The sequence below is a fragment of the Homo sapiens genome, chromosome 10 (assembly GCF_000001405.40).
Source record: "Homo sapiens chromosome 10, GRCh38.p14 Primary Assembly".
NCBI classification, from domain to species: Eukaryota; Metazoa; Chordata; class Mammalia; order Primates; family Hominidae; genus Homo; species Homo sapiens.
In genome coordinates this window covers 114,286,768-114,314,069 of record NC_000010.11, presented here as the reverse complement: position 1 = coordinate 114,314,069, position 27,302 = coordinate 114,286,768, and the positions used below count along the sequence as shown (strand labels likewise).

The 27,302-nt window shown below is 50.9% G+C and overlaps 2 protein-coding genes across 63 annotated transcripts in view, besides 1 other annotated feature; one reads left to right on the top strand and one right to left on the bottom strand.

Moving 5' to 3' along the window:
* The window catches only part of AFAP1L2 (actin filament associated protein 1 like 2), a 124,451-nt gene that overhangs the window by 91,106 nt on the left and 6,043 nt on the right, over positions 1–27,302 (top strand). For 10 of the 55 annotated variants that reach the window (XM_047425857.1, XM_047425853.1, XM_005270237.6 and 7 more), the window contains 12 exons: positions 20–199; positions 3,627–3,716; positions 5,553–5,637; positions 6,161–6,265; positions 9,140–9,351; positions 11,586–11,731; positions 12,605–12,716; positions 13,380–13,625; positions 13,708–13,876; positions 14,655–14,810; positions 16,657–16,850; positions 16,970–17,092. In XM_047425857.1, coding sequence (XP_047281813.1) covers positions 20–199; positions 3,627–3,716; positions 5,553–5,637; positions 6,161–6,265; positions 9,140–9,351; positions 11,586–11,731; positions 12,605–12,716; positions 13,380–13,625; positions 13,708–13,876; positions 14,655–14,810; positions 16,657–16,850; positions 16,970–17,092 — 1,818 coding nt within the window. Of the gene's footprint in view, positions 1–19; positions 200–3,626; positions 3,717–5,552; positions 5,638–6,160; positions 6,266–9,139; positions 9,352–11,585; positions 11,732–12,604; positions 12,717–13,379; positions 13,626–13,707; positions 13,877–14,654; positions 14,811–16,656; positions 16,851–16,969; positions 17,766–18,001; positions 19,247–27,302 lie in introns of those variants that run through there. The other 45 variants (XM_047425869.1, XM_047425863.1, NM_001351074.2 and 42 more) reach the window with 11 other exon arrangements.
* Positions 9,052–9,101: a silencer, noted in NCBI's record as "silent region_2843". NCBI's record gives its function as "represses an Ori minimal core promoter by ATAC-STARR-seq in GM12878 lymphoblastoid cells {active_cell/tissue: GM12878}" and the evidence as "EXISTENCE:reporter gene assay evidence [ECO:0000049][PMID:35858748]".
* Positions 19,570–27,302, bottom strand: part of VWA2 (von Willebrand factor A domain containing 2) — a 55,247-nt gene continuing 47,514 nt past the window's right edge. For 6 of the 8 annotated variants that reach the window (XM_047425155.1, NM_001320804.1, XM_017016179.3 and 3 more), the window contains 3 exons: positions 24,581–25,132; positions 23,705–23,830; positions 19,570–22,852 (listed from right to left, as the gene is read on the bottom strand). In XM_047425155.1, the coding sequence (XP_047281111.1) occupies positions 22,833–22,852; positions 23,705–23,830; positions 24,581–25,132 (698 nt within the window). In that variant the 3' untranslated portion in view covers positions 19,570–22,832. The other 2 variants (NM_001272046.2, XM_017016180.2) reach the window with 2 other exon arrangements.

The following is a 27,302-nucleotide window of genomic DNA, read 5'->3' as shown; positions in this document are numbered from 1 at the left end:
CTTCTCTCTTTCCTTCCAGTGCTACAAATCCTCCAAGGACCACAGCCCTCAGCTGGACGTGAACCTACTGGGCAGCAGCGTCATTCACAAGGAGAAGCAAGTGCGGAAGAAGGAGCACAAGCTGAAGATCACGCCGATGAATGCCGATGTGATTGTGCTGGGCCTGCAGAGCAAGGACCAGGCTGAGCAGTGGCTCAGGGTGAGGGCGACACCGAGCCACTTGGAGGGGTTCCTAGAGTTGTGGCCCCCAGCTTTTCTAAAGGGATGGATGATAGGGTCAGGGGTAGAGGATTTGTGATCCTTCAAGTTTGCAGGGCTTCCTGTGTTCTAAGTGGTAACGATCTGTCTTCTGCAAATGGGTTACAGCGTGCTGCTGCCAGTTCTGAATCCCCAGTAGCCCGGACTTGGGTGCAGTTGAAATCCATTTCCCTTTTTGCCTTTAGTGAGGCATCCCCCTCCTCCTTATTAAAGAAGAATACATGTCGCTGCCATTTGCCACGTATTTGCCATAGACCCAGGACTATTAGCATCTTTAACCCACGTAACCACACTGGGGATGGCTGGGGAATGTTCATGTCCCCATTTTACAGGAGTGGTGATTAAGGCTCAAAGGATGGAGGTGATGGATCAAAGTCGTCTGCCAAGTGGTGGCAGCATTGGTTCTCAGACCGAGGCCCGTCTACACAGTGCTGTGCCTCCTCCCACCACGAATGCACGTGGCCCACTCTGCCCACGCGTCCCTGGGTGTGATTATGAGGCACTTGGGGAGGGGCTTGCTTGCCTCAGGTGAAAGCTGGGCTTGATGCTTCCAGCGGATGTAAAGTTTGCACCAGGAATGGATCCCCAGTTCCAGAGGGACCTCCAAACCCAGCAGGGACCCTGGTGAGGCCAGTGAGAGCCAGAGCAGCCCTTCCCCTCCTTCCTGCTGCCCCTCCCCTCCTTCCTGCTGCCCCCTCTCCCATCACAACCACTTCAGCCCAGAAGCGTTCTATCCACCCCGCACCCCACCCCACTCCACCTGCCACCCAGCTAAACATAACCACCTTGGCGAGCCTGTCAGAAACAGATCTGGACCGCTGTGGTAAAACAGGACCTCAGTACCCGCCTGAGGCACTGGTCCACCCCTAGGCTGAGTATCCTAGATTTGGAGCAGGCAGGCTGTTTTTGTAAATCCACTAATTGTTTTGGAAATGCCAGGCCTGTCCTAACCAAGCTTCTAGAAGGTGCTGACAGGTATCCCCATCTTTATTGCAAAATCTTCAAGTGGTGAAAGACAGTGGTATGTAGAAAAAGGCCACTGCATAGACAGGTTTGTGGTTTGGCTTCACAGATCTCCATGTAGGGTGGGGTTCCTGAGAGAGCTAACAAGCTCTGAAAGGCCAGCCCTGGGCATTTAAGAGCCAGGGCTCTGAGTTCAAATCCTGGCTTCACCCCTGTTTAGCTGAGTGATTTGGGGCTGGATCCTTTAATGTGCACAAAGTGCTTAGCACTGTGCTTGGTATATACTGAGTGCTCCGTGAAACTTGGATAGTACAGATAAGACCACTGAGGCCCAGAGGGAATGGGGGGCTTGTCCTGGGCTGCAGAGCTGATTAGGACCCAGAGCTCTGGGCTGTTGGTTTCTTACCCCAGTCTCCTGCCTCACCCACTACACACACATACTCATTTGCACACATATATGCACACATGCACATTCATGTATACATTTGTACACACACGGACAAATGCACATGTATGCACATTTGCATACACATTTTTGCTCATGCATGCATTGCGCATGTATATGTACACACACACACACACACACACACACACACACACACACACACACACACTCTGCTCTTGCCCCCAGTTCCCCGCTCTGTTCCTCTGACTGCTCAAATCCACCGATCTTCTCCCTGGCCCCTAGCCTCCCTCCCCAAACTCTCACGCCCTCTTCCTGAGGCCCCTGGCCCCATAGCCTCTGCTGGTGGTTTCAAAGACAAGAACGCTTTCAGCAGGCACAGACTTTCTGTGTCCAGCCTCCACAGAGAGACCCTTCCCCCCAGCTCAGACAAGTGCAGAGGTGGACTTGGCTGGAAATGCCTGCTCTCAGAAGCCGCCCACTCTTGCGCTTTGGCAGTGGGGGCTGGTCCACCTGTCTGATGGGCTCTCCACCTACCTGCATTGGCTTTGTGAAGCCCATCTACCTTCCTTGGACCTCTGTGTCCCAATTCTGCATATCCGCACCCATGCCCAGGGTGAGACAGGTATATGACAGTAAACGGGAGATGCTGACTATGGGACGACGGTCCCAGTAAAGGAAGGCACAAGGCAGGGCTTTTCCCAGGAAGCATGACCCTGCCCCCGCCCCACTCCTGAACTCCTGGCTTAGTGGCACTTTCCCTGGGCAGGGCCATCCGTGTATTTGGCCCAAGCTAATAGGGATGGTAATCCATGTGCCTGCCCTGTGCTGGGTGCTTGACATACAAGCGCTCACAGCTGGCTCGTGGCAAAGGTATTGACCCAGCTTACAGATGCAGTGGCTGAGGCTCAGGCTCAATGTCACACAGGTGCCAACCCTAGTGCCTGTGCTCTTCCTATGACACTGGGTTGCATATTCAGTGTGGACCACAGTCCCGAACTGGAGTTCTTGGGCTCTTCTGATTTGAAACCCATTTCCACAAACTGCTCTAGGCATAGACTGAAAGAGGGGGATCTATGAAATCACTCTAACTAATTCTGCGTTTCCAAAGGGCTTCCAGGTGGGTAGTGTGTTTCTGGTCGCCCTGGGAGTTCCCCCGGCAAGAAGGGAGTGCCCCTGGCTCAGACTGAGGCAATGCTTTCATAGTCAGAGCCACTGCTGACTTTCTGCATCTGCCCCCAGCCCAGGCTCTGTTCCTCTGACTGCCCAAACCCACCTATCCTTTTCCGGACCCAGCCTCCCTTCCCAGAGTCTCACGCCCTCTTCCTGAGACCCCCTGCCCCATAGCCTCTGCTTGGGGTTTCAAAGACAAGAACGCTTTCAGAAGGCACAGCCTTTCTGTGTCCAGCCTTTACAGAGAGACCCTCTTCCTCCACTGGTCAATGAAGCCAGTGAAGAGGCCCCTTCCCAGAGGCGGGCGGGCGGGTGGGTGGCGGCAGGCGAGTCGGGAGAGCCAGAGGGTGGTTGGAACAAGGGAGTTTGCAGGCCTGCTCCTCAGGCAGCGTGGAGACTCCACAGAGAGTTGCATGACCTCTGAAAAGCCAGAGGACTGTCTAGCAAGGCAGTTGTTGATCACGCCTGCAACAGAACAGTAGCCCTGCCTGGAATGGTGGCAGGAAAGGGGCTCGCGGAGCCCTGGGCTGGTGGCTCTGGTCATCTTTGGCCTTTGCTGCCAAGGCCCCCCCTCGCATGCCCATGAACGTGTGGGACCTGCGGAAAGGAGCTAAACAACGAGCCCTCCCCACTGCAGCCTGCCCAGCTGGGTCTGAGGCCACATGCAGGCCTTGGGGCTGGGGTCGGGTGGGTCCTCTTCCTTGGAAATTCATCTTCTCTCTCACCTCCACCCACTCTCCCCTGACCTGCAGGGGCCCTGGCTTCAGCCTGGCTGTGAGTGCTGGCCAGAGGACCTCAGCCTCTGCTGACGGCTTCCCTCTTGCCTCAGGTCATCCAGGAAGTGAGCGGCCTGCCTTCCGAAGGAGCATCTGAAGGAAACCAGTACACCCCGGATGCCCAGCGCTTTAACTGCCAGAAAGTAAGCCTCTGCCCTGCCTGGAGGGAGAGTCCCCTTCCATGTTTTCTCTGTAAAAATTAAAAGTGCAAAATTGGGAGCTTCGTTTTTATATTTCAGTCCAATTAATAAGAAACATACAATGCTTGAGGCCGGGCAGGGTGGGCTCACGCCTGTAAGCCAAGCACTTTGGGAGGCTGAGGCAGGTGGATCACCTGAAGTCAGGGATTTGAGACCAGCCTGGCCAACATGGTGAAACCGTGCCTTTACTAAAAATACAAAAATAGCCAGGCGTGGTGGTGGGCGCCTGTAATCCCAGCTACTCGGGAGCCTGAGGCAGGAGAATCACTTGAACCCAGGAGGCGGAGGTTGCAGTGAGCTGAGATAGCGCCAGTGCACTCCAGCCTGGGTGACAGAGGGAGACTCCATCTCAAAAAAAGAAAAAAGAGAAGAAGAAACATACACTGCTTGGAAAAGAGGAGTAACTCTAGCTTGGCAGGAAAATGGAGGAAACGGATACAGACCTAAAATATTTTCTTGCTTGTAGGTGCCGGGGGTGGGCGAATGGGGAGACAGGGGGAAGCTTTATTGGAACAACAGTCACTTTGGCCTGCATTCTTAAGTAGGGAGATTGATTTTATGAGGCACTTCCTTTCCCCTTATTCCTCAGTAGCGCCTCTGGGCTTGGGGCACTATCTCAAGGCTGATTGCAACCAAAGGGCTGTAGTCCTCATTTGCATGGTGCTTTCGGGGAGCTTTAGGCTTAAAGGTCAAGGCTGAAAAAGTTGAATTAGGTTCTGGCCAAAAGGAGGATCATCACCTGTGGGGTCACATTTCCTGTCCCTGAGTACCTGCAGGTAGGTGTCCTGAAGCGTGGGCACACATAGAACAGCCAGAACATCACTGTGGCTCCTCTTGGGGTCCCCACCCCAGCAGGGAGGAAAACAAGAGGCACACAGAGGGCTCGAGCAGAAAGGAGGCCACTTACTCTCCAGAAGGCACAGGTCATCCCACATGGAGAAATAGCCCACAGTCCTTCCAGATTCCAGAGTGACTCAGGAGGGGCCATTTTTCATTATCTCATTTATTCCTTGGCCACTGACAAGAAAACAAAAGTTGGAAAGAAGTTGGGTTTTCTTCAAAGACTCGGCATGCAGTGCTTCCTTGGCCAGGGACTGCTGGCCCTGGACCCTGCCTAAGGCCGGTCCTGTTGCTTGGGAGACTGTCAGCTTGTTTTCCAGAGGTATGGAGTCGGTGACTCTCTAAACGCAGCTTGATTGGAATATTCTGAGGGTTTCATGTTCTAACAGTAGCAGCAGCTACACTTTTCTAGGGATCATCTTGAGTCCCCAACACCCCTGTGAGCAGACTGGGATGTCATCCCTATGTGACACATGCAGAGTGAGGCTCAGAGAGGCTCATTTAACTTGGGCACCAGCCTGGCAGCAGAATGCTCCGGCCAGGACTCAAATCACATGGTCTGCTCCTGTGCAGACGAACCAGCTCACATTGCTAGAACAGTCAGCTCTCAAAAGACTTCTTCACACTCTCAGTATGAGTGGTTTCTAGCTTGACAGTTAACATCATAGGGGATGCAGACTCTAATGCCACCCCTGAGCAGCCTGCTTGCCCTGCCCACTGGCTACAGGGTCACTGTCACATCAGGTTGAGCAGCCATTTGGAAGCTGGGCCAATGTCCTACCAGTGACCTGGATTCTGCCGTTTAGGTGGCCGGCAGGGATTTGCTCAGCTGACCTCTGGCATACAACCAAGAGCCATCTATTATTTTCCCTTCAATTGTGGTCTCCAAGGTAACTGTTCCCAGCCAGTGATCCCCATTCATGTCGCTTTTGTCCATAGCCAGATATAGCTGAGAAGTACCTGTCGGCTTCAGAGTATGGGAGCTCCGTGGATGGCCACCCTGAGGTCCCAGAAACCAAAGACGGTAACATCATGTGGTTGGGAGGGGAATGGTGTCCCAGGCTGTGAGGCTGGGCTGTCAGGCTCAACCCTGATGGGTTTTAGCAGCGGATTCTAACATGGCCCCCTATTAATAAACCACTCGGAAATACTGCTGTTAGATCCAGGAAAAAGGGAGACTCGGCCAAATTGAAGTTAAGCTTCATGAAATGCTGGGGATAGAATGTTCTTCCATCTCTTCTTGTTTGCTAACCCTATTTCAAATCTCTTTGAGCCAGTACAGTGTGTAAAGATTCTCAAGTGGTTGCATATTCTATAAGAAGTCTGTGTACCCCTCTTGAGTGTGTGACTTTAAAGACACCTGACTGTGGCCTGCAGGTCCTGGTTTGAGGAGATGTGTGTGTGTGTATGCGTGCATATGTGCGCGCATATGTAGCGGGGAGGGATGGGTGGATGGAGTGGAAATGGGTTTGCTATTTTTTCCATCTCTCATGGGCACGTGGGTGGACCACGTGCAATACGAATTGCTTTCTGTCTCATCTTGACAGTCAAGAAGAAATGTTCTGCTGGCCTCAAACTGAGCAACCTAATGAATCTGGGCAGGAAGAAATCCACCTCACTGGAGCCTGTGGAGAGGTCCCTCGAGACATCCAGTAAGAATTGTAGCTACCTCCGGGACCACAGGCTCATTTCCTGGGCTGGAACCTGCAGGAAGGCGAGCTCAGACAGCGAAGGCAGGGGGTTTTAGGTCTTCCGTAAACATCTCTAGGAATGGAGAGCCTGCAGCCCTCAGGTTCCCGTCTGTTGTTACTGCAGGCAGTTCTTTATGCCTGATCCAACTCTCTCTTGCTGCAATGTTGGGGCCTTTGTGGAAGTGAAGGGTAACTGATTGGTGTCCTCCTAGTATTCTTTTAAAAATGATGTTCATTTGATCTATATTTACAGGGTATATAGCAGGGACCTTGCTAAAAGGGGACCAAGCAGAAGGATGGCAGGCACAGTACTGAGAGCTCACAGCCTGCCTGAGGGAGGTGATGATTTTATACCCATAAGCACGCACTGTGCCATCTTCGTAGCTATCAGGACTCAGGGACAGAGAGAACTTTTCTTGCCCTGTGGTCAGAGATAGCTTTGTGGACCTGAGCCTTGAGGGGCATGTAGGAGTGGAATGGGCTGGAATGGTGCTTGTGGACAGGAGCAATGACTCTGAAATGGGAACAACCGAGACTATGAAGGGGACAATGAGAACCCTGTACTGGTGCAGAGGGTATGGGTGCAGGTAGGCTCTTAGAGGTCATCTCTACAGCCTTAGCTCATACTCAGGGAAACTGAGGTTAGGAGGAGCGACAAGCCTTTCTTGGGAAATATCTTGGGGTGGGCCTGGTATCTTGATCCCCAAGCGGGTCCCACATTGGGGGTCATCCTTCCAGGGGCCTGAAGGCCATTATTGTCCCATCTCTGGGTTCCCTTCCTGAGTCCCAGTTGAGTTTTCTTGTGTTTTGAGGCTGGCAGGGTGGTGGGGGTGGGCTAGGAGGTGTGTCTTTGCATTCTCCGGCTTCTCCAGCCAGGGTGCCAGGCAGTGGCCTCAGGGGGCATGATGTTTGGCCTGGGAGCTCAGTCCCTGTGAGTCACTGTTTAAGAGATGTGGCTGGGTGATTGCTGGATGTCTACTCAGCAGTGAAGTATGCTTCCTGCGGCTAGGGGAGGGCTGAGAGAGAATACAGCTGCTCTCCTTCCCAGGACTGGGGGTGCTTAATGATCTGAGATCCCACCTCTCATGATCCAAAGTTCTCTGTGGTCCAGAGGATTGTGACGGGTGTGTGTGTCATCTCAGTCCTGGTCTCTAATTCTTCCACTTTGTGTTAATGTGGCTTGGCGATATGCATGATCCCCACTGGGCCAGGCAGGAAGGTAGCTGTGCATTTTCACGCTATTGCCTGGTTCAGCCAGCCAAAGCTCAGGGCAGCTTCCAATCCCTTAGGACAGGGAAGGTGTCTGATGGGTTCTGAAGCTGAGAATCTGGGGGACTCTAAGGAAGCCTAGAGGCAGTGCCAGCATAGGACACACCTAGACACCCATGCCCTCCTGCCCCCGCATCCCCTCCTGCCCCCGCGTCCCCTCCTGCCCCCGCGTCCCCTCCTGGATCTGCGTCCCCTCCTGCAGCCCCGACGCCTCCTGCATCTGCGTCCCCTCCTGCAGCCCCGACCAGTCCTGTACGTGCACCCCCTCCTGCATCTGCATCTCCTCCTGTAGCCCCATCCCCTCCTGCAGCCCCGCTCCCTCCTGCAGCCCCATCCCGTCCTGCAGCCCCGTCCCCTCCTGCACCTGCATCCCTCCAGGCATCTGCATCCCTTCCTGCATCTGCATCTCCTTCTGCAGCCCCGTCGCTTCNTGCATCTGCGCCCCCTTCTGCATCTGTGTCCCCTCCTGCATCTGCGTCCCCTCCTGCATCTGCGTCCCCTCCTGCAGCCCCGACCCCTCCTGTACCTGCACCCCCCCTGCATCTGCATCTCCTCCTGCAGCCCCGTCCCCTCCTGCACCTGTGTCCCCTCCTGCACCCGCGTCCCCTCCTGCCCCTGCGCCCCCTCCTGCACCCGCGTCCCCTCCTGCACCCGCGTCCCCTCCTGGATCTGCCTCCCCTCCTGCAGCCCCGACGCCTCCTGCATCTGCGTCCCCTCCTGCAGCCCCGACCAGTCCTGTACGTGCACCCCCTCCTGCATCTGCATCTCCTCCTGTAGCCCCGTCCCCTCCAGCCCCGCTCCCTCCTGCAGCCCCGTCCCCTCCTGCACCTGCATCCCCTCCTGCATCTGCATCTCCTCCTGCATCTGCATCCCCTCCTGCATCTGCATCTCCTTCTGCAGCCCCGTCGCCTCCTGCATCTGCGCCCCCTCCTGCATCTGTGTCCCCTCCTGCAGCCCCAACCCCTCCTGTACCTGCACCCCCTCCTGCATCTCCTCCTGCAGCCCCGTCCCCTCCTGCATCTGCGTCCCCTCCTGCACCTGCGTCCCCTCCTGCATCTGCGTCCCCTCCTGCATCTGCATCTCCTTCTGCAGCGCCGTCCCCTCCTGCAGCCCCGCTCTCTCCTGCAGCCCCGCTCCCTCCTGCAGCCCAGTCCCCTCCTGCATCCGCGACCCCTCCTGCAGCTCCGTCCCCTCCTGCGTCCGCATCCCCTCCTGCATCCGCGTGCCCTCCCACATCCACGTCTCCTCCCGCAGCCCCGCCCCCTCCTTTATCTGCATGCCCTCCCGCAGCCCCGCCCCCTCCTTCATCTGCGTCCCCTCCTGCAGCCCAGTCCCCTCCTGCAGCCCAGTCCCCTCCTGCATCTGCGTCCCCTCCTGCAGCCCGGTCCCCTCCTGCATCTGCGTCCCCTCCTGGAGCCCAGTCCCCTCTTGCATCCGCATCCGCTTCCCCTCCCGCAGCCCCGCCCCCTCCTGCATCTGTGTGCCCTCCCGAAGCCCCGCCCCCTCCTGCATCTGCGTCCCCTCCTGCAGCCCTGTCCCCTCCTGCATCTGCACTTCCTCCTGCAGGTTACCTGAACGTGCTGGTGAACAGCCAGTGGAAGTCTCGCTGGTGCTCTGTCAGGGACAATCACCTGCACTTCTACCAGGACCGGAACCGGAGCAAGGTGGCCCAGCAACCCCTCAGCCTGGTGGGCTGCGAGGTGGTCCCAGACCCCAGCCCCGACCACCTCTACTCCTTCCGCATCCTCCACAAGGGCGAGGAGCTGGCCAAGCTTGAGGTACCGCCGGCCTGCAGGGGGAGCAGGGCCAGCCAGGGTGTGGCGGTGGTGGCTGTTTGCTGCCAGTCTCCAGGACTGTAATGCTACTAAGGGAGAATCAATGTCCCCGCGTGTTATTTTTACTTCGTTTGCCTGAGATTGTTTGCATTTTTAAAAATTTCCATTCCTTTTCTGACCTCAGAGTAGTTGCGTTATAAGAGTGGAACCATGCGCTACTTCCTGCACTTAGGGCAGAAGGAGTATTTTTAGTTCTCTGAGCTACTGGAAAAGCTGCTGGGGATTCAAAGTGGGTGTTGTTTTGTTTGGGTATCACCAGCTGGGAGAGCCTCTAGGCCCAGTACGTAAAAACCACACTGTTAGAGCTTATCTGGGGGAAAAAATTCGCTTTGTGATACAATTACATTCCTCTCGCTCCCCATCCTCCCTTTGATGTGATGTTACGTTTACAAAAATAAGAAGTGACATAACGCTTTGCAAGCTGCGGCAGGCGGAGACCGAGTCCCTTCCACGCATGGAAGCACACACTTGCCCGTGAATGTCCGTTCACTTAGTCTTTGATGTGGAGGTCCTCATCCAAACTTTGCTCCAATCCTGCCCTCTGGTGGCTGAAAGACCCACATCGCAATTGCTTCCCAGGGTCCAGCTTGTAGCTTATATTCATCCATTCAGAGGTTCCCCATCAACAGACATCTTCTCAGCACAGGAATATGGTGGACAAGAGCAATATGGACTCCGTCCTTGTGGCACTTACATCCTAGTTTGGGAGTGTGATGTTATTCAGCAAATTACCCAGCCAATCGCTGGGCTACAATGGCTGGAAAGAAGTGGGGAGGGTGCTATAGACTTGTACTGGGGTCTGGGTGACAGGCTGGAGCGGGAGGGACAGGGCTTGATCCTAGGAGCAACGGAGCCCTGATGGCTTTCAGGGGAGGGCGGCAAGCTCAGATCGGGGTTTTGAGATGCTTCCTCCAGCTACTGGGGTGGGAGTGGATCGGAGGGGGCAAGAAGGGACCTGCTAGGAAGCTGTCGCAGCTGTCCAGGGCAGAGACGCAGCCTGGACTAGGGGAGGCCCATGAAAAGCTGTATTTAGAATCCAGTTGAAACTAAGTGGGGGCCGGGCATGATGGCCCACGCCTGTAACCCCAGCACTTTGGGAGGCTGAGGCAGGTGGATCACCCGAGGTCAGGAGTTTGAAACCAGCCTGGCCAACATGGTGAAACCCTGTCTCTACTAAAATACAAAAATTAGCTGGGTGTGGTGGTGGGCGCCTGTAGTCCCAGCTACTTGGGAGGCTGACACAGGAGAATTGCTTGAAGCCGGGAGGCAGAGGCTACAGTGAGCCAAGATCCCACCGCTGCACTCCAGCCTGGGCGACAGAACAAGATTCTGTCTTTAAAATAAAAAAAAACTGGGAAAAGGAAACCAACTAAATGTCAAATTCTGCTCATCACGGCCTCTTTGATGAAGAGAATGTAGCAGCAAACGTGATGGAGCTATGGGTTATACCAAAGGGGGCTGATTTTCCTCATCAAAATAAACCTATAGCTTTGATTAAATGGGCAGTTTTTTCTCATTATAAAGGTAAGAAACAGTGTGGACATTTTAATTGAGGTACCCAATGGATGCATTTGATTAGAATGCATTGTCCCCTGGAAAAAAAAATACCAAATTCACTGGGATTTTGATGATGATTTAGCAGCTGAGCTAGTGTAAGGTATTTAAAAGATGTCCCGACTTTACTGAAGCCATGAACAAAATAAATTTGAATGTTGTTATTTCTTGGGGATCCAGGAAGTCTTGTTGTATATGGGATTGGGGGAATGACATGCATTGTTCATAAAATACAAGTGTCAACTTAAAAGACATACAATTTTTTAATCATTTTAAAAACTATTAATTAACAGGTGGTCACTAACAGTTTTTAATAGTGACCACCTGGTGATAAGTTTTCACCTCCTAGAAACACAATGTATATACATCTCATATGGCCCTTGGGACAAAAGTCCACAGCATTATTGAGGTGGCATCAAGATGTCACTGACGACAGGAAATATTATCTGGGGCCACTGGGGGGTGGGATAGGCTGGTGAACAGGAGAAGCACAGCCCCGGGCTGTTACAGAGGCTTTCGTGGGCAGGCTCAGGGGTAGGGGTACGGTCATGGCCTGGTGGGGAGGGGCTGGCACCAGGCAGCACTGCCTGGCCCTGCTTATGTCTCTCTTGGCCTCGTTCCAGGCCAAGTCTTCCGAGGAAATGGGCCACTGGCTGGGTCTCCTGCTCTCTGAGTCAGGCTCCAAGACAGACCCAGAAGAGTTCACCTACGACTATGTGGATGCCGATAGGGTCTCCTGTATTGTGAGTGCGGCCAAAAACTCTCTCTTGTGAGTAATTTGGACCCTTCCTCCGTACACTCTCTTATTCCTGGCCATGCTGTAGGCCCTGGGTCAGCCAGAGTCAGGGGCAGCAGGGAGCACAGGGTCCCACCCCACTCTGCCCAGCAGCAGGAAAATGTGAAGCCAAGGAGTAGCCCTCAGGGAGGCCCGGCCAAGAGCCAGGAGCTGAGCTAAGAGCAAGGAGCCGAGCCAGGCTTCGGGCCCCGGGGGCAGCTTTGGCATCCTCAGAGGCAGTTAGACTCTCCAGCTCCTCCAGGCAGAGCTGTCACCTTTCCTGACCTCCTACTTGTCCTTCTGGTGAATCCCTCACTGGGTCTCCAGCACACCCTGGAGAAAAGCAGGTCAGGGGGTGGTGCTTCTGTTTCCAGATGAGCAAACTAGGGCTGAGGGAGAGGGCGTTCTCTGGTCAGGGTGGTAGAGCCAGTCTCGTGGAAGCCGGCTGAGCCACTGAAACAGAATCAGTTTTCTCATGGACCAAACGGGGATAGTGTCTGGCCTGCGCCACCCCAAGTGTATTGTGAAGATGAAATGAGAAGGGGTTTTTTGTTGTGGTTGCTGGAAGGAGATCCTAGAAGGGAGGAATGGGGGAGAAGATGGCAAAGGGATCCTAGGACGAGGCGTATGGGCAAGGGAAGCTTGTCTTTCTGGGAGGAAAATCTCGAACCAAGAATTTCAGGAAGAAGGCACTGGGAAAAGAGGGAGGAGGTGCCCTCAGATCCATGGAGGTGAGTGTCAGCCCCCAGATCTCTTGTGTGGCCACCACTTTCACGGCAACCACTCCTCACTGGGAATCCTTGGAGTCTGGTGCTTTCACCACCCTGCCCCGGCTGCTTCATGTGTGCCACCTCGCCCTGTTTCCAGACTGATGCAGAGAAAGTTCTCAGAGCCCAACACTTACATCGATGGCCTGCCTAGCCAGGACCGCCAGGAGGAGCTGTATGACGACGTGGACCTGTCAGAGCTCACAGCTGCGGTAAGGACCCGGCCAGGCAGTGGCCTGGGCCTCTCCAGGCCCTCCTCCTACCAACCTCAACACCTGGATGCCAGAGATCATTAGAGTATCCCTGAGATGAGATGAGTGGGTTCTGAGTCACCTACCAGGCCAGTAGTGCAGACACCTAAGTGCAACAAGGCTGTCTCCTATATGTGAGGCTGTGCAGTTTGCTTGGCTTGGGGACTTATCTAGATGAAACACCGGTGAACCCCTCTCGTCAGGGCTAGGGGTGTGGTGGTGGGATTGGGAGTGGAGGTACCAGTAGGCTTCCAGGTCCAAATCGGTTGTTGAGTGGGATGATCACACCGATGGCAACTTCCACGTTTTGGGCACTGAACCCTGTGCTGAGCTGAGGACCTCCTGCAGATGATCTCCTTGAATCCTAACCACCTTATGGGAAGATGCTGCTCTTTTCCTCTTTACAGATGAGGAAATAAGGTTCAGGGAAGTTAAGTGCTCTGTCTGGGTCTTCCACCTCGAGTGACATATCTAGGACTCAGCCAGTGGCCCCCCCAGCAGGGAGGGAGATCTCTTGGAACACTGTGAGATGGGCACCAGAACTGTGAGGCAGGGCTGGTACCCCCTCCACAGCTGAGGGAGTAGAGGTAATGTTGAATGCCCCAGACTCACTCTCTCCTGCAGGTGGAGCCTACCGAGGAAGCCACCCCTGTTGCAGATGACCCAAATGAGAGAGAATCTGACCGAGTGTACCTGGACCTCACACCTGTCAAGTCCTTTCTGCATGGCCCCAGCAGTGCACAGGCCCAGGCCTCCTCCCCGACGTTGTCCTGCCTGGACAATGCAACTGAGGCCCTCCCGGCAGACTCAGGCCCAGGTCCCACCCCAGATGAGCCCTGCATAAAGTGTCCAGAGAACCTGGGAGAACAGGTACAGGCCTCCCCTGCAGGACAGCAAGACCACCTTCCTGCGCCCCTTCAGCCAGCTGAGTCAGGTCTGCTTTCCCCCAAAGCAGCTGGAGAGTTTGGAGCCAGAGGATCCTTCCCTGAGAATCACCACCGTCAAAATCCAGACGGAACAGCAGAGAATCTCCTTCCCACCGAGCTGCCCGGATGCCGTGGTGGCCACCCCACCTGGTGCCAGCCCACCTGTGAAGGACAGGTTGCGCGTGACCAGTGCAGGTACTTGTGCTTGGGGAAGTTAGCCCGATTCCATCTGTATTAGTCAGGGTTCTCTAGAGGGACAGAACTAATAGGATAGATGTATATATGAAAGGGCGTTTATTAAGGAGAATTGACTCACACGATCACAAGGTCAAGTCCCACGATAGGCCTTCTGCAAGTTGAGGAGCAAGGAAGCCAGTGGTGGATCAGTCCAAGTCCCAAAGCCTCAAAAGTAGGGAAGCCGACAGTGCAGCCTTCAGTCTGTGGCCAAAGGCCCGAGAGCCCCTGGCAAATCACTGGTGTAAGTCTAAGAGTCCAAAAGCTGAAGAACTTGGAGTCTGATGTTCAAGAGCAGGAAGCATCCAGCACAGGAGAAAGATGAAGGCTGGGGAAGACTCAGCAAGTCAAGTCCTTCCATGTTCTTCTGCCTGCTTTATTCTAGCCATGCTGGCAGCTGATTAGGTGGTGCCCACCCAGACTGAGAGCGGGTCTGCCTCTCCCAGTCCACTGATTCAAATGTTAATCTCCTTTGGCAACACGCTCACAGACACACCCAGCAACAATACTTTGCATCCTTCAATCCAATCAAGTTGACATTCAATATTAACCATCACACCATCGTTTTCAGATTAGGAAACAAGTTCAGAGAGGTAGAGGGACCTGTCCAGGTCTGGCATCCAGCCTAGCAGGGCTTTGTGCCAAAGCCCCAGGTTCTATCCGAGCCTGGGGAGTAGACTGGGGACAGCCCTCATGATCCAGCTCTGCTTACCTGGGGCTTCCCTCTCTGGGTCTGTAGAGATCAAGCTTGGCAAGAATCGGACAGAAGCTGAGGTGAAGCGGTACACAGAGGAGAAGGAGAGGCTTGAAAAGAAGAAGGAAGAAATCCGGGGGCACCTGGCTCAGCTCCGGAAAGAGAAACGGGAGCTAAAGGAAACCCTACTGAAATGCACAGGTAAGGGGGCCCCCAGTGGGGAGGGACCCTCAGCTCAGAGGGCCGTGTAGGCTTAACTTTTTGGCGGAAGATCTGGCTGTCACCACACCTTCTCAATCAGTGGGCCCTGGCCCCTTCAACCCTTGGCCTGGGTGGGTGCTCCCTTGTGTGTCCTTTCTTCCAATCCTGTCTGAAAGGTCATTCTCCTGGACAGAGAGAGAAAGCCTCTGACGGAACATCAATAGGACCAGCAGGTCATCGTAAAAGCTAGTTAAAGGAAGTTTTACAGGGTTATGCATAGGCCGTGTTTTATTGTCACTTAAATGCATATTCCTTGGCCCATCTTTTGAGGACCTGGCACTGCAGATTTTTTGAGCTCTGGTTGGCTGACTGGAGTCTCATGTCATCCTTCATGCATTAACTACACCTGTTAATGCATCAGCCTTCATTTCCAGCCTTCATTTCTTGAAAGTCAACAAAAACTTAAGATACTTGCCAAGAAGTCTTTCTAGATTATCTTCCAAATCACACTCGTATCATTTGACAGCTATTTCCTGGCAATCTGCTGCATTTAAAATTTCAAAATTAAAAAAATATTGAGATGGGGTCTTGCAATGTTGCCCAGGCTGGTCTAGAGCTCCTGAGCCCAAGGGACACCTGCCTTGGCCTCCCAAAGTGCTGGGATTACAGGTGTGAGCGTGAGCCACCATGCCCAGCTGCAACCTGCCTCTTCTAGAACCTTTCCAAAGTATTTGACTTAGTTTTCATGGAGTAACTTTGTGCTTATTTAAATTGTAGAGGTGTATGAATAAGCAAGAGCAGCGGTGCAGGTTTGAGGACAAACTCAGCTGACTGGTGAGGGAAGGTCTTGAGGGTGCAAAGTCACCCACTGGCTTTCTTTTTTTGAGACAGTCTTGCTCTGTTGCCCAGGCTGGAGTGCAGTGGCGTGATCTTGGGTCACTGCAACCTCTGCCTCCTGGGTTCAAGCGATTCTCCTGTCTCAGCCTCCTGAGTAGCTGGGATTACAGGCATCCGCCACCATGTCCAGCTAATTTTTGTATTTTTAGTAGAGATGGGATTTCACCATGTTGGCCAGGATGGTCTCGAACTCCTGGCCTTAAGTGATCTGCCTGCCTCAGCCTCCCAAAGTACTGGGATTACAGGCGTGAACCACCGCACCCAGCTTGAACTGTATTTTTTTAAACTCCAATCTTCAAAACATTATTAGTATACGTTTTCTTTTCCTTCCCTCTTTAGAGATGGTCCTTCAATAGCATCTGTGAATTTTTCTTAAACAGTGGCCCTGTGCTCAGGACTCTATGTGGTACATATGTGATACCATCCTTTCCTCCAGCAGTGAGCTTCTAGGATACAGGCCCTAGGCATCATTTCACGGTGTGGCAGCATCAACCCAAGAGGTCCAGGGTTAACAGGAGGAGCCAGGGCTGAGGACTCCTGCTCTGTTAGGCGTAGGGAAGCCAGAGGATTGAGGGAACTTGGTAGGGCAGGTCAAGCTGCCCAGCCCTCCTCCATGGGCCATGAATAAAGCCCCTCACCCTTTTGGGTCACTGTCAAAGCAACCAAGAGTCTCTGAGAACCTACAAGAAGGGACTTAAGGCCTCAGACTCATGCCCCTTAGTGAAGCCAGAGCTCTCCTCCCCAAGAGCCTCCCAGCCTTTGCAGAATGCTAGCTAAAGGAGGCCTCCAGGCTGCCCCGGCATACAGGCCCCTCCTGGCTCTGAGTGTTGGGGCCAGACCTGTGGTCCTTCTCGGGTGGCGGGGTATGTAGACCCTGCCTCCACCCAGCAGGGCTCCCTGGCCTGGGCTGAGATGCTGTTCTCTGACACCTGCATAATTCTCTCTCCAGACAAGGAAGTCCTGGCGAGCCTGGAGCAGAAGCTGAAGGAAATTGACGAGGAGTGCCGGGGCGAGGAGAGCAGGCGCGTGGACCTGGAGCTCAGCATCATGGAGGTGAAGGACAACCTGAAGAAGGCTGAGGCAGGGCCTGTGACGTTAGGCACCACCGTGGACACCACCCACCTGGAGAATGTGAGCCCCCGCGTGAGTGCTGGAACTGCGGCCTCTGGGCTGCTTGCAGGGCTCCCTGGACATGGGTTGGGGTGGGTGGGTCACATCTCCCTCCCCTTGACTCAGCCCTTGCTCTCCTCCTATAACCACAGCCCAAAGCTGTCACACCTGCCTCTGCCCCAGACTGTACCCCAGTCAACTCTGCAACCACACTCAAGAACAGGCCTCTCTCGGTCGTGGTCACAGGCAAAGGCACTGTACTCCAGAAAGCCAAGGTAAGCAGTCACTCCCAGCCTCCCTTGGGGCCAGCAGAAATGTCACTAAGGTAGGGGCCCATCTTCTGACCCAGGTGGTGCTTTGTGGCTTTTGGCACCAGCTCTGAGCAAGGGCTCGGCACTCACCAAGGAGTGGCCATGGCTTTGCCATGCCTTCAGCTCAGTCTCTGGCACTGACCAACCAGAAAGGTGTCTGCACTTGGTTCGAGCATCCTTCCCTGTGAGCTTGGGGATGCTTCAGTTCTTGCCCTCCACACAGCTATGGGTAGATTCCAGGAGGCCAGCTGCAGCTCAGGGACAGATTATGACTGAGTTTTCAAACCAAAAAGTCAGTCAGTGACTCCACAGGACTTCTACCATTAAAACTAAAGAAACAGACTCACATAGGTGGTTTGAATTGCCCAAAGTTGCCCACCCAACTACTGGCAAAATTCTCAGCAAGTTGTGAATGAGGAATCCATGCTATGATGCGGTTTCTCCCTGATGGCTAGTCAAAAAAGTATCATTAATCATTTACTCATTTACTCATTTGTACACTAAAGAACATGCCTAGGGCTGCCTTTGCTTTTGGCAAATTCTGCTCCTTATTCCTATCCTCCTTACCTGCTGGAGATATTTGGAGGTCCCACAACAATGGCTAACCAATAAATCCATGCAAGCATCTGAACCTCCACTCCCTTGTTGCTGTGAGAGACATCACTTATAGGCACTCGCTGTTGTGCCACAGTCTCAAAATCTCTGAATAGGCACTCTAAGCAGTGATGAACACACAGGGTTTGAAACATTTATCACCTCTGTGCCTAAAATAGTTTTTCTCACATTTTTTCTATGTATATCAAGGTTGCTACAGTGGATAACTAACTATCTTTTTGGTGGGGGGTGGGTGCTGGTATTTGAATGGTACCCTAGGAATGGGAGAAGAAAGGAGCAAGTTAGAAAACAAGCTTCATCTAAAGACTCTCATGTCAATGTGGACCTTGGTGACAATCCTGCTTTGTTAAAGCAAAAACTATGCGAAAGGGTGAGTCTGTTTAGAAGAAAAAGCAAAGACTGAGGTACTGTGAATGGAGAGCTTCAGCTAAGAGGAGGCTCTGTCCCTTTTCAGAGCCAAAGGAAATAATACAACAAAAAGGAGGCTTCTTTGGAGACCTAAGTCTATTGGATGTAAACAAGACGTTGTATTTAGGGATGTTCTGTGTTTCTTTCTTTTTTGAAGTTGTCATCAATTGCTTTACTAAGATTTTTAAATAGTGAAAACCTCCTGTTTAGACTTTGGTGGAAGATGAATCAAGGAAGCAGGGCCCTGTCTTATGGGTCACGTGTCTTTGGTGAGTGAGAAGACCTAAACTCCTGGCCATCATCTCTTATCCAATACTTAGCAGTTGGGGATTAAACCATCCTTGCCTTCAGTTCTCTCCAATATTACCAGGCCCAACTCAGTCTTCAGTGATTTTAAACAGCATTGACATCATCTGTAAAACCATCATCTGTAAAACCATCTATGACATGAGTTTTGAGAAACAATAATGGGGAAAATATTTGGGACCAAGCTGAAGCACTAATCCCACTAAGTTAAAGACTTCTTTCCAGTCCAAGGCAGGCCTGAATCAACTGTCTTTAAATAAAATTTTAAGTGATGCTGTATTATATATAGGAAAAAATGCTTAAAATCCTGTCATTTAGAACAGTGAAAAGTATCTTTTGAGATTAAAGTGACTCTTTACTGTAGGAAAAATATTACTCTGTGTTTACAGATTCATTGCTGTGGTCAGGCCATTTTTAAGGGAAGAGTTATTTAATATAAATAGTCTCTGATTTTAAGTTCTGTTTAATGTTCATTCTCCTTCCAAGAACAAAGTGGTGATTTTTGGTTAGGGTGATCGCCCTCTTAAAATTGGCAGTGCTGTTCCTTGTGCTGCCCCTGTCTTTTCCTCTGATGGCATTTTTTTTTTTTTTTTTTTAACACAGGTTGAAACATTTCATCTATTATCTCTGCCTCATTTCTGGAGGGTTGTGTATCAGTTCTCTAACACTTGTTCCTGAGAACTAAATGTCTTTTTTATTCTTATTTCCTCTCTCATAAACATTTGGTGACCTTTTACCAAGTGGTGAGTTAGTTAGGTTTTTTAAAATAAAATGTTCATTGTATTTGAAGTTTTCCTCAGTTCATGAAATGACTTGGGGCAGGGCCTGGGGGGTTCTCAAGGGAGGAAATGTTTTGGTTATTTACACACTGAACTACAAGATGGGATCCTAGCAGGAAACTCAGCCTCCTTGAATCAAAGAGCATAGATAAGGCTGAAAGCAAATTTTAGTTGTACAGTTAACAACATACCAAAGACACAGGAAACATCTGCAGAAATTGATCATATATAAGTGAATGAAAAATCAGTACTCCTCCCAGAAGTTAAATATACTCCTAAAGAATTCTTGGGAAAAAAGAAACATACCAATACTGGGAAGGTTGCCTAAGTAGTAATTAAGGAAGTTTATAGCATAAATGTGTTTATTTTAAAAATGACAAAATCAAAATCGGGTTCATTAAAGAGACAAATAGACAACCTAAGGCAATATGAAATAGCAGAACTGAAATGGAGGCCTTAATACAGATACTGACAAGATTTTTCAAATTATAAAAAAATACTATGAATATATCAGTGTAAAAGTTTGAGAAATATGTATTTTCCATTATAAGGTTAGTATAGCTCTGATACCAAAAATTCAAAACAAATTGCAAAAGAAAACAAATCTCATTGTTGGACACAGATTAAAAGAATCTGAAATAAGATGTTGGCAAATGAAAAATTCAGCAGGGTTTATAGAATGATGCATAATGACCAAATAGAGTTTATCCAAAAAAATCAAGGGTTGTTCAATGATTGAAAATACACAAATGGATAACCTATCACATTAACAGATAATACAAAAAATGCATTATCTTGAGGAAGAAAAAGCATACCATAAATCTCAACATGTAATAAACACTCTTAGTTCATCTAGGAATTAAGCATTCTTAAACTGATAAGTAACCCATAGAAAACAATTATTATGATGAAAAAGTCAAGAACCAGATATGGATACATGCTACTTCATGAAACATTATTCTGGAGGTCCCAGGCAATGCAAAATGACAAGAAAAAGAAGTGGTATACAACTTTGAAAGGAAGAGACAAAACTAGCATCATTTGGAAATATTTCTCTAGAAAAGCAAGAGTCAATTATTAGAACTAGGGTATTCAACAAGATGACTGGAATCAGGATCGTTCAGAGAAAATAAGGAAATTTATGGCCTATATGCAATGTTTTAATTATTGCAAGGAAAATATATTTCTGTCTTATTTGAATAAGTAATTAAAGGTAAAAATTAAAGCTAATTTCTTTTAAATGAAAGAAAAAAGGCTTGGCTAGTTAGGCCATAGGATAGCACTTTCCTGGGGGACTGACAAAAGCTGAACTATTTAGTGGCACTGTCACTACAAAAGGGGAAAAAATGTTTCAAAGGCGAGAAACCCATTTCCTACAAAGAAACAGTAAAGGCCCTTACTATGTAAGTCGAGAGCCCACAGTTTGCTGTTTAAATCCAAGTAATTCAATCAGGGCACCCAAATACCAGCCCGGAACAAGACAAAAAGCCTACATTATAACATGGTTAAACTGCTATTTAAAGACAATGCATTCATGTAATTTCTATGACATCACTGATCAGCATCTGCTAGGGAGCATGTGATCCTGCCCCGGACGTTGTCTTCTGTGAAGGGCAGCATAATAACAAAGTTATCAATGAAAGTATCCCTTGAATATAGATGATTATGACTCAATGTCTGGTACACCAGACTTTTTAATATCTAAAATCTTGGTGATACTGCTTCAAGCGCTTTTCTAGCACCAGAAATCCTGAAGTTCTTAAAGCCAAAGTACCCTTGAATGTTTGTCTATAAAACATTATGTTACAATATTTATAAAGAAAAATGGGCCAGGCACAGTGGTTCACCCCTGTAATCCCAGAACTTTGGGAGGCCAAGGCAGGGGGATCACCTGAGGTCAGAAGTTCGAGACTAGCCTGGCCAACATGGTGAAACCCTGTCTCTAACTAAAAATACAAAAATTAGCTAGGCATGGTGGCACCTGCCTCTAATCCCAGCTACTCAAGAGGCTGAGGCATGAGAATCACTTCAACCTGGGAGGCAAAGGTTGCAGTGAGCCAAGATTGTACCACTGCACTCTAGCCTGGGCAACAAGAGCAAAACTCCGTCTCAAAAAAAAGAAAAACGATAAAGTGTCTGGAGTCACATCAGAGCTCTAGAAAGATTTCTACAGAAAATCCAACTCTAAACAACACAACCAAGGAGAAGAAGTAATTCCTAAATACTGCAGCGATAGGGAAGTAAGTATCTAGTTTGCCAGAGAATATTCCAAATATGCCTCTTTGCCACATAGGTACAAATATCCCTGTTTAATAAATAACCAACATTTCTTGAAATATTTCTTTAAAAACTGTGTAGAAAAGCAAAGCAAAACAAAATTAAAACCTAGACAGCGTAAGATCAATGCTTTAAAAAGCAAAATCTCTGTAAGTTTCTTTATCCTATATTTTTGAGTTTAAGAATCTTACTTCTCTTTGCCCCACTAAAAGGAGAATAAGGAAAGAATTCCATAAACACGCCACAATTAACCCCTCCTAAGTACATTTTTTTCTTTTTGAGACAGATTTTTACTCTTGTTGCCCAGGCTGGAGTGCAGTGGTGAGATCTCGGCTCACTGTAACTTCCGCCTCCCAGGTTCAAGCCATTCTCCTGTCTCAGCCTCCCGAGTAGCTGGGATTATAGGCATCCACCACCACCCCCGGCTACCTTTTGTATTTTTAGTAAAGACAAACTTTCACCACGTTGGCCAGGCTGGTCTCAAACTCCTGACCTCGGGTGATCCACCTGCCTCAGCCTCCAAAGTGCTGGGATTACAGGCATGAGCCACAGTCTCTGGCCGCAGCCTCTTTTGAAAGGAAGACCCTTCAGGTGGACACTGCTCACGACTCAGAACGATTTTACGTGGCCCCTCCAGACCTGGGCCCATTGCACACTCAGCCCCTCCCCCATCATCAAACAAGCTGGTTAATTGGTCACATTTCAGTCTGAGACCTTTCCAAGTCTCTTCCACACACAAAAGGCAGTCGCCAGAAGTCACAAACGTCCCTCAAGCCCCCTTTCAGACTCAATGCAAATGCATCCAGAATGTCTCTGGGGAAGTGGAAAAGCTGCTGCTTTCCATCTTGAAAGGCCGTGGCCTTCGCCGTCCAAAGGATGCTCTAGTAAAGGCCTCTGCTGGGCATTACTGTGTCAACAACATTCTGGCGAGCATTGATTGTGTGCAAAGGAACGTCAGGCCGCTAAATTTAAGTCTTCAGGACCCCTTGTTTATCCTCAAGGGAAAGGTGGCAGATGACATAGCCTCAACAAGGCACAGCAGGTACAGAAAGTGGGTATTTACTTACACATCAAAACTTTTCAACAACATCGTTTGTGGGTGACATCAGCTGCTTTCTTGTCTCTAAGCAGCATGGCTGCAGTTGGGACATCCTCCTCCCTCAGTGAGAATAGTGGTCCTGGCCACGGCGGGAAGCAGACATTCTAAGGACCTGGGGCACAGACATTCCAGAAGGTAGGCACCATTTCAGTGCCCAGGCCTTCTCTGTAGTTGCTGGGAGGGGTACGGCTGCTGCCCTCCTGCACGGGAGCCATGTGCCTCAGGGGCGTCTCAAGAATCCTGGGGAAGGAAGTGAAGTCTGAGGACAGGAGTGTCTGCATCCCCTTCTCAGCCCTCCAGCAGCCTCTGAGGACCCCTTCAGGTCCTGCTCTTACTCTACAACCCACCTCGCCCCCAGCAGAAGATGCCAGATTAGAGACCCCATGTGATTATCCTCCAGAGCTTCTCTCTGGCCTTAGGAAGCCAACCTCTGCCCGTGGCCAAAAAACCAAGGCTCCGACTGGACTTGTCTTCTGATTTCTGGCTGTTCTAACTTCAAACTCATGAACAGGAGCCATAGTTGGACCTCTAATGCCTCCCAACGATCACTCTCTAGGTCCTAATCTGTTACCCTTGACAATGACTTCTTTTCTCTCAAACCTCTAGCACCTCCTCCTCGTCCTCACTTAGCTGTTCCTCCCATTTTACTGAGCAAATAGCACCCCAAAAAGAGCTTCCAGCAGCTCCCACCACCGCATTTACCCATCCCTGCCTCCGTCTACATCCCTGTACCCTGGATCTACTGTGCTCCTAACTGTGGCCTCCCTCCTAGTTGTCATGACTTTCTCCGGGGTGCTTAGCACCGTCTACCACACCACATGTTGTATTATTTGCTTATTGTCTGTCTTCCCATTAGAATGGAAGCTCCATGAGGGCAGAGGTTTTATTCATTTGTTTACTGCTATGTTCCTGCACTGAGAACAATGCCTGGGATGCAGGAGGTACTCACTAAATGTTTCGTGGGTAAACGACTGAATAATTTCTTCCACTGAACGAATGTTTTAGAACCTGCCTTCAGCTGAGTTTGTGGGACTTGGCAGGACTCGCAATACCATCCCTGGCTCACACATACAGAGCAAGAGCTCCACTCACGGTTCTCGCAGTGGGGGCCCTCCCAGCCATCCCGACACTTGCAGCGGTAGCTCCCATTCTGCAGGACGCAGCTGCCCTCATTCATGCACGGGCTGGGTTTGCAGAGGTTGACTGGCTGCTTGGCTTCTACAATGGAGAACACCATACCCACCAGGCCGGCCAGGCATGGGTTAGACCCGAAGACCCCTACCCTAAGTAAGCCCAGTAGAGGTGCAAGGCTACTAGAGTCATGTCTCCCTTTGCCCCGGTAGCTCATGGTTGGTGCTGCATACCACTTGGCTAGGTTAGTAAGACCCAGCTCTCCTACAGACTCATGGAGAGTCCATTGCTCAGACGTGCCATACACATGGCAGACTTTTTTTTTTTTTTTTTTGAGGCAGAATCTTGCTCTTGTTGCCCAGGCTGGAGTACAATGGCGCGATCTTGGCTCACCACAACCTCCACCTCCCGGGTTCAAGTGATTCTCCTGTCTCTTTTAAGAAGGTGAAGAGGAGGTCACTGGATTTGGGCTGGCCTGGCCCTGTTTGCTCTGGGCTCTGTCACTGCCCAAGTCAGTGTGAATGTGGGATCTTTAGACCCTTAGGAAGCTTGTGGATATTCTAAAAGTGTGTTCTGTTTAAAGGGAATGCATAAATTCTCAAGTTTGGGGGGAGTTATCTATGTTAGTTAAACTTTCTGTACCTTAAATGTCAAATAGGATGGTTATGCCTACTGTAGGATTTTATGTGAGCATGGGGTTTAGCACAGAACCTGGCACTTGGGAAGCAAGTGCTCAGTAGCTGGGAAGAGCTGCCATCCTCGTCATGATGTATGTGAAGGCTCAGGCTGAGGGCCTGCCATGGGGGCAGCCCTGAGGGTGTGGATTCCCCCACTCACCTCCACACAGCCACTCAATGAGCACGTCCTGGTGGTACCGCAGGTCGGCGTAAGCTGCCACGTGGATCAGGGAATCCCGGGGACCTGCAAGCCTCCGCAGACCCTCACTTAGGACAGGCCCCACGCCCACGACCAAGACAGAGATGCCATTGTTCCTCAGCTTCTGGGCAGGAACGGCTGCATCCTCTGCGCCTCTCCCGCCTGTGAGCACCACCACAGCTTTGGGGACACCAGGCCGGGCACCCCTCTGGACGGTCATCACTTTGTCATAGATGTGCAGCAGGGCGGTGCCGGCTGAGCCCACCCCACCTAGGTAGGGGGCCTGGCTAATGGCCCGCAGCATCGCAGCCCGGGTGGGTTTGGTGTCCAGCCCGAAGGCAGTCTGCACCTGGCTGCCATACACCACCAGGCCGACCTGTGTCACGTCAGGGTTCACCTCAAACTGGAGGGCACAGCTTCTCACAAAGCTCTGCATCTGAGCAAAATTCTCGGGCCCTACTGAGGCAGAGGTGTCCAACATGAAGACGAGGTCCAGGGCTTGTGTCCGGCACCCTGCAGGAGCAAGCAGAGGGGCTTCAGCAGTGGATGTGCCAGTCAGAGCCCCTCGACGGGACCCAGGGACTGCCAGGTTGGGTAGGACCAAGGTCAGCCAGGGTGCTCTGTTCACTGCAGAATACACCCTCTATGTCTTCCTTTTAGCCACAGAACAGCACTTTCCTAGAATATTAGCAGGAAGATGAGTGCCTGCCAGACCACATTTCCCAGACTTCCTGGCAGCTAGGGTGGCCACGTGTCTAAGTTCTATCTGACGGACGTGATCAATTTCAAACTCATGCAGCTGGAAGCTGCTTACCTTCCACTTCCCCTCTCCCCCTTCCTGCTGGCTGAGAAATGGTGACCTTGGACCTCAAGGTGGAAGCCATAAGATGACCAAGCCCTGCTGGCCCGGGCCACTCACCTCTGAACTGTATGTGAGAGAAATAAGTTCCTGTCTTATGTAACCCATGGGGTTTGGGTTTGTGGGCAACCCTTTGTGACAACATCTTCACCTGTGCCTTCATCCATCCCCAGTATGCAGGGCACTAATTAGATGCTGTATGGACAAAATGGGCCCATGCCTGCTGTCAACAGGCTGACAGTCTAGGGGAACAGACATGAAATGAACATAGAATTACAAATGATGTCGGCAGCGTGGAGGGAAAAGCAGGGGACTTCGAGAGAGACCAGTAGGGGAACATAACAAGACTGGGAGAAGGGGTCAGAGCTTCTCTGGGGAGGTGACATTTCACCTAAGAACTGAAAGACAAGTAAGTATGAGCCAGAAGGCCTCTCCTGTGCAGGGGATGCAGAGAGGCCTGTGGGGACCAGGCCACAGGGAGCTCTCAGAAGCCAGGGGAAGGAGTTTGGGTTTTATTCCAAGTGCAAAGGGGAACCACTGGAAATTCTAAGTATGGAGTTAGAGGAGCTGATGCTCTGATTACTGGTTTTTAAAACCACTCCCACACCAGGAACGTCTGAGAAACTATCACAGCTACGGGGAAGGCGGCTGACTACATGTACTGTGGGGTCCTGGATGGGATTCTGGAACACAAAAAAGACATTAGGTAAAAACTAAACAAATATAAATAAGCATGGATTCACTAAATAATGATGTATCAATACTGGTTCATTAATGATAACACTGTGCCATACTAATGCAAGGTGTTAATAGGAGGGGAAACTGGGTGTGGGGTATAGGGAACTCTCCACTATTGTCAATTATTTTTTCCTATAAATCTACAACTATTATTTTTTTTAAAAAATCCAACCAAACAAAGCAGCAGAACAAAAGCACTTAGACCAGCCTGGAGGGGCAGGGTGGGAGTGGGCAGCCAATCCCTGTCCTTCCGCCTTACAGGAGGGAAAGCCTCTCGCCTTGGGGAGAGTGGTGGCATCAGGGCTGAGAAGCAGAATCACATCTGTAGCTTCCCATGCCCACCTACCAAGGGGAGAACTCCAGGAGCCCTATAAAGGCTTACATTTCACTCAAGCCTGTAATCCCTCCACTTTGGGAGGCTGAGGTGGGTGGATTGCTTGAGCCCAGGAGTTCGAGACCAGCCTGGGCAACATAGCAAGACCACATCTCTCTAAAAAATAAAACAATTAGCTGGGCATGGTGGTGTGCACCTGTAGTCCTGGCTATTCTGGAGGCTGAGGTGGAAGGATCACGTGAGCCCAGGAGTTCAAGGCTGCAGTGAGCTATGATCGTGCCACTGCATTCCAGCCTGGGTAACAGAGCAAGACCCTGTCTCAAAAGAAAAAAAAGACGTGTTTCAGCTACTACATCTCTGGCCATGGGCCAGGCCTCTGCGTGGGGACAGTGTTCTCTAGAGTGCCTTCCAATAGGGGTCATAAAAAATCAGCTTCATGGCTTGCAAAACAGAACAGAAGAGAAAAATGTCAGAATGCATCCCAAGTAGACAGGGTAAGTATCCTCTCAGGAAGCGTTTGTTTCAGTTGTGTGTGGCTGCACCAGCGCGTGTGCATGCACATGCATCCGTGTGTGTATGTGTGCATACATGTGCATGTGTGCACCAGGAACACACTTTTCTGTGGATTGCCATCAAAGGAGCTGGGAAGCTGCTGCTCTGGAGCCTGCTTAGTAGATTCAGAGCTCTTAGTAACAACAACAATAAAATCGTGATTAAGAATGATAACAGCAACACCTAGAGTTTGCTGAGTG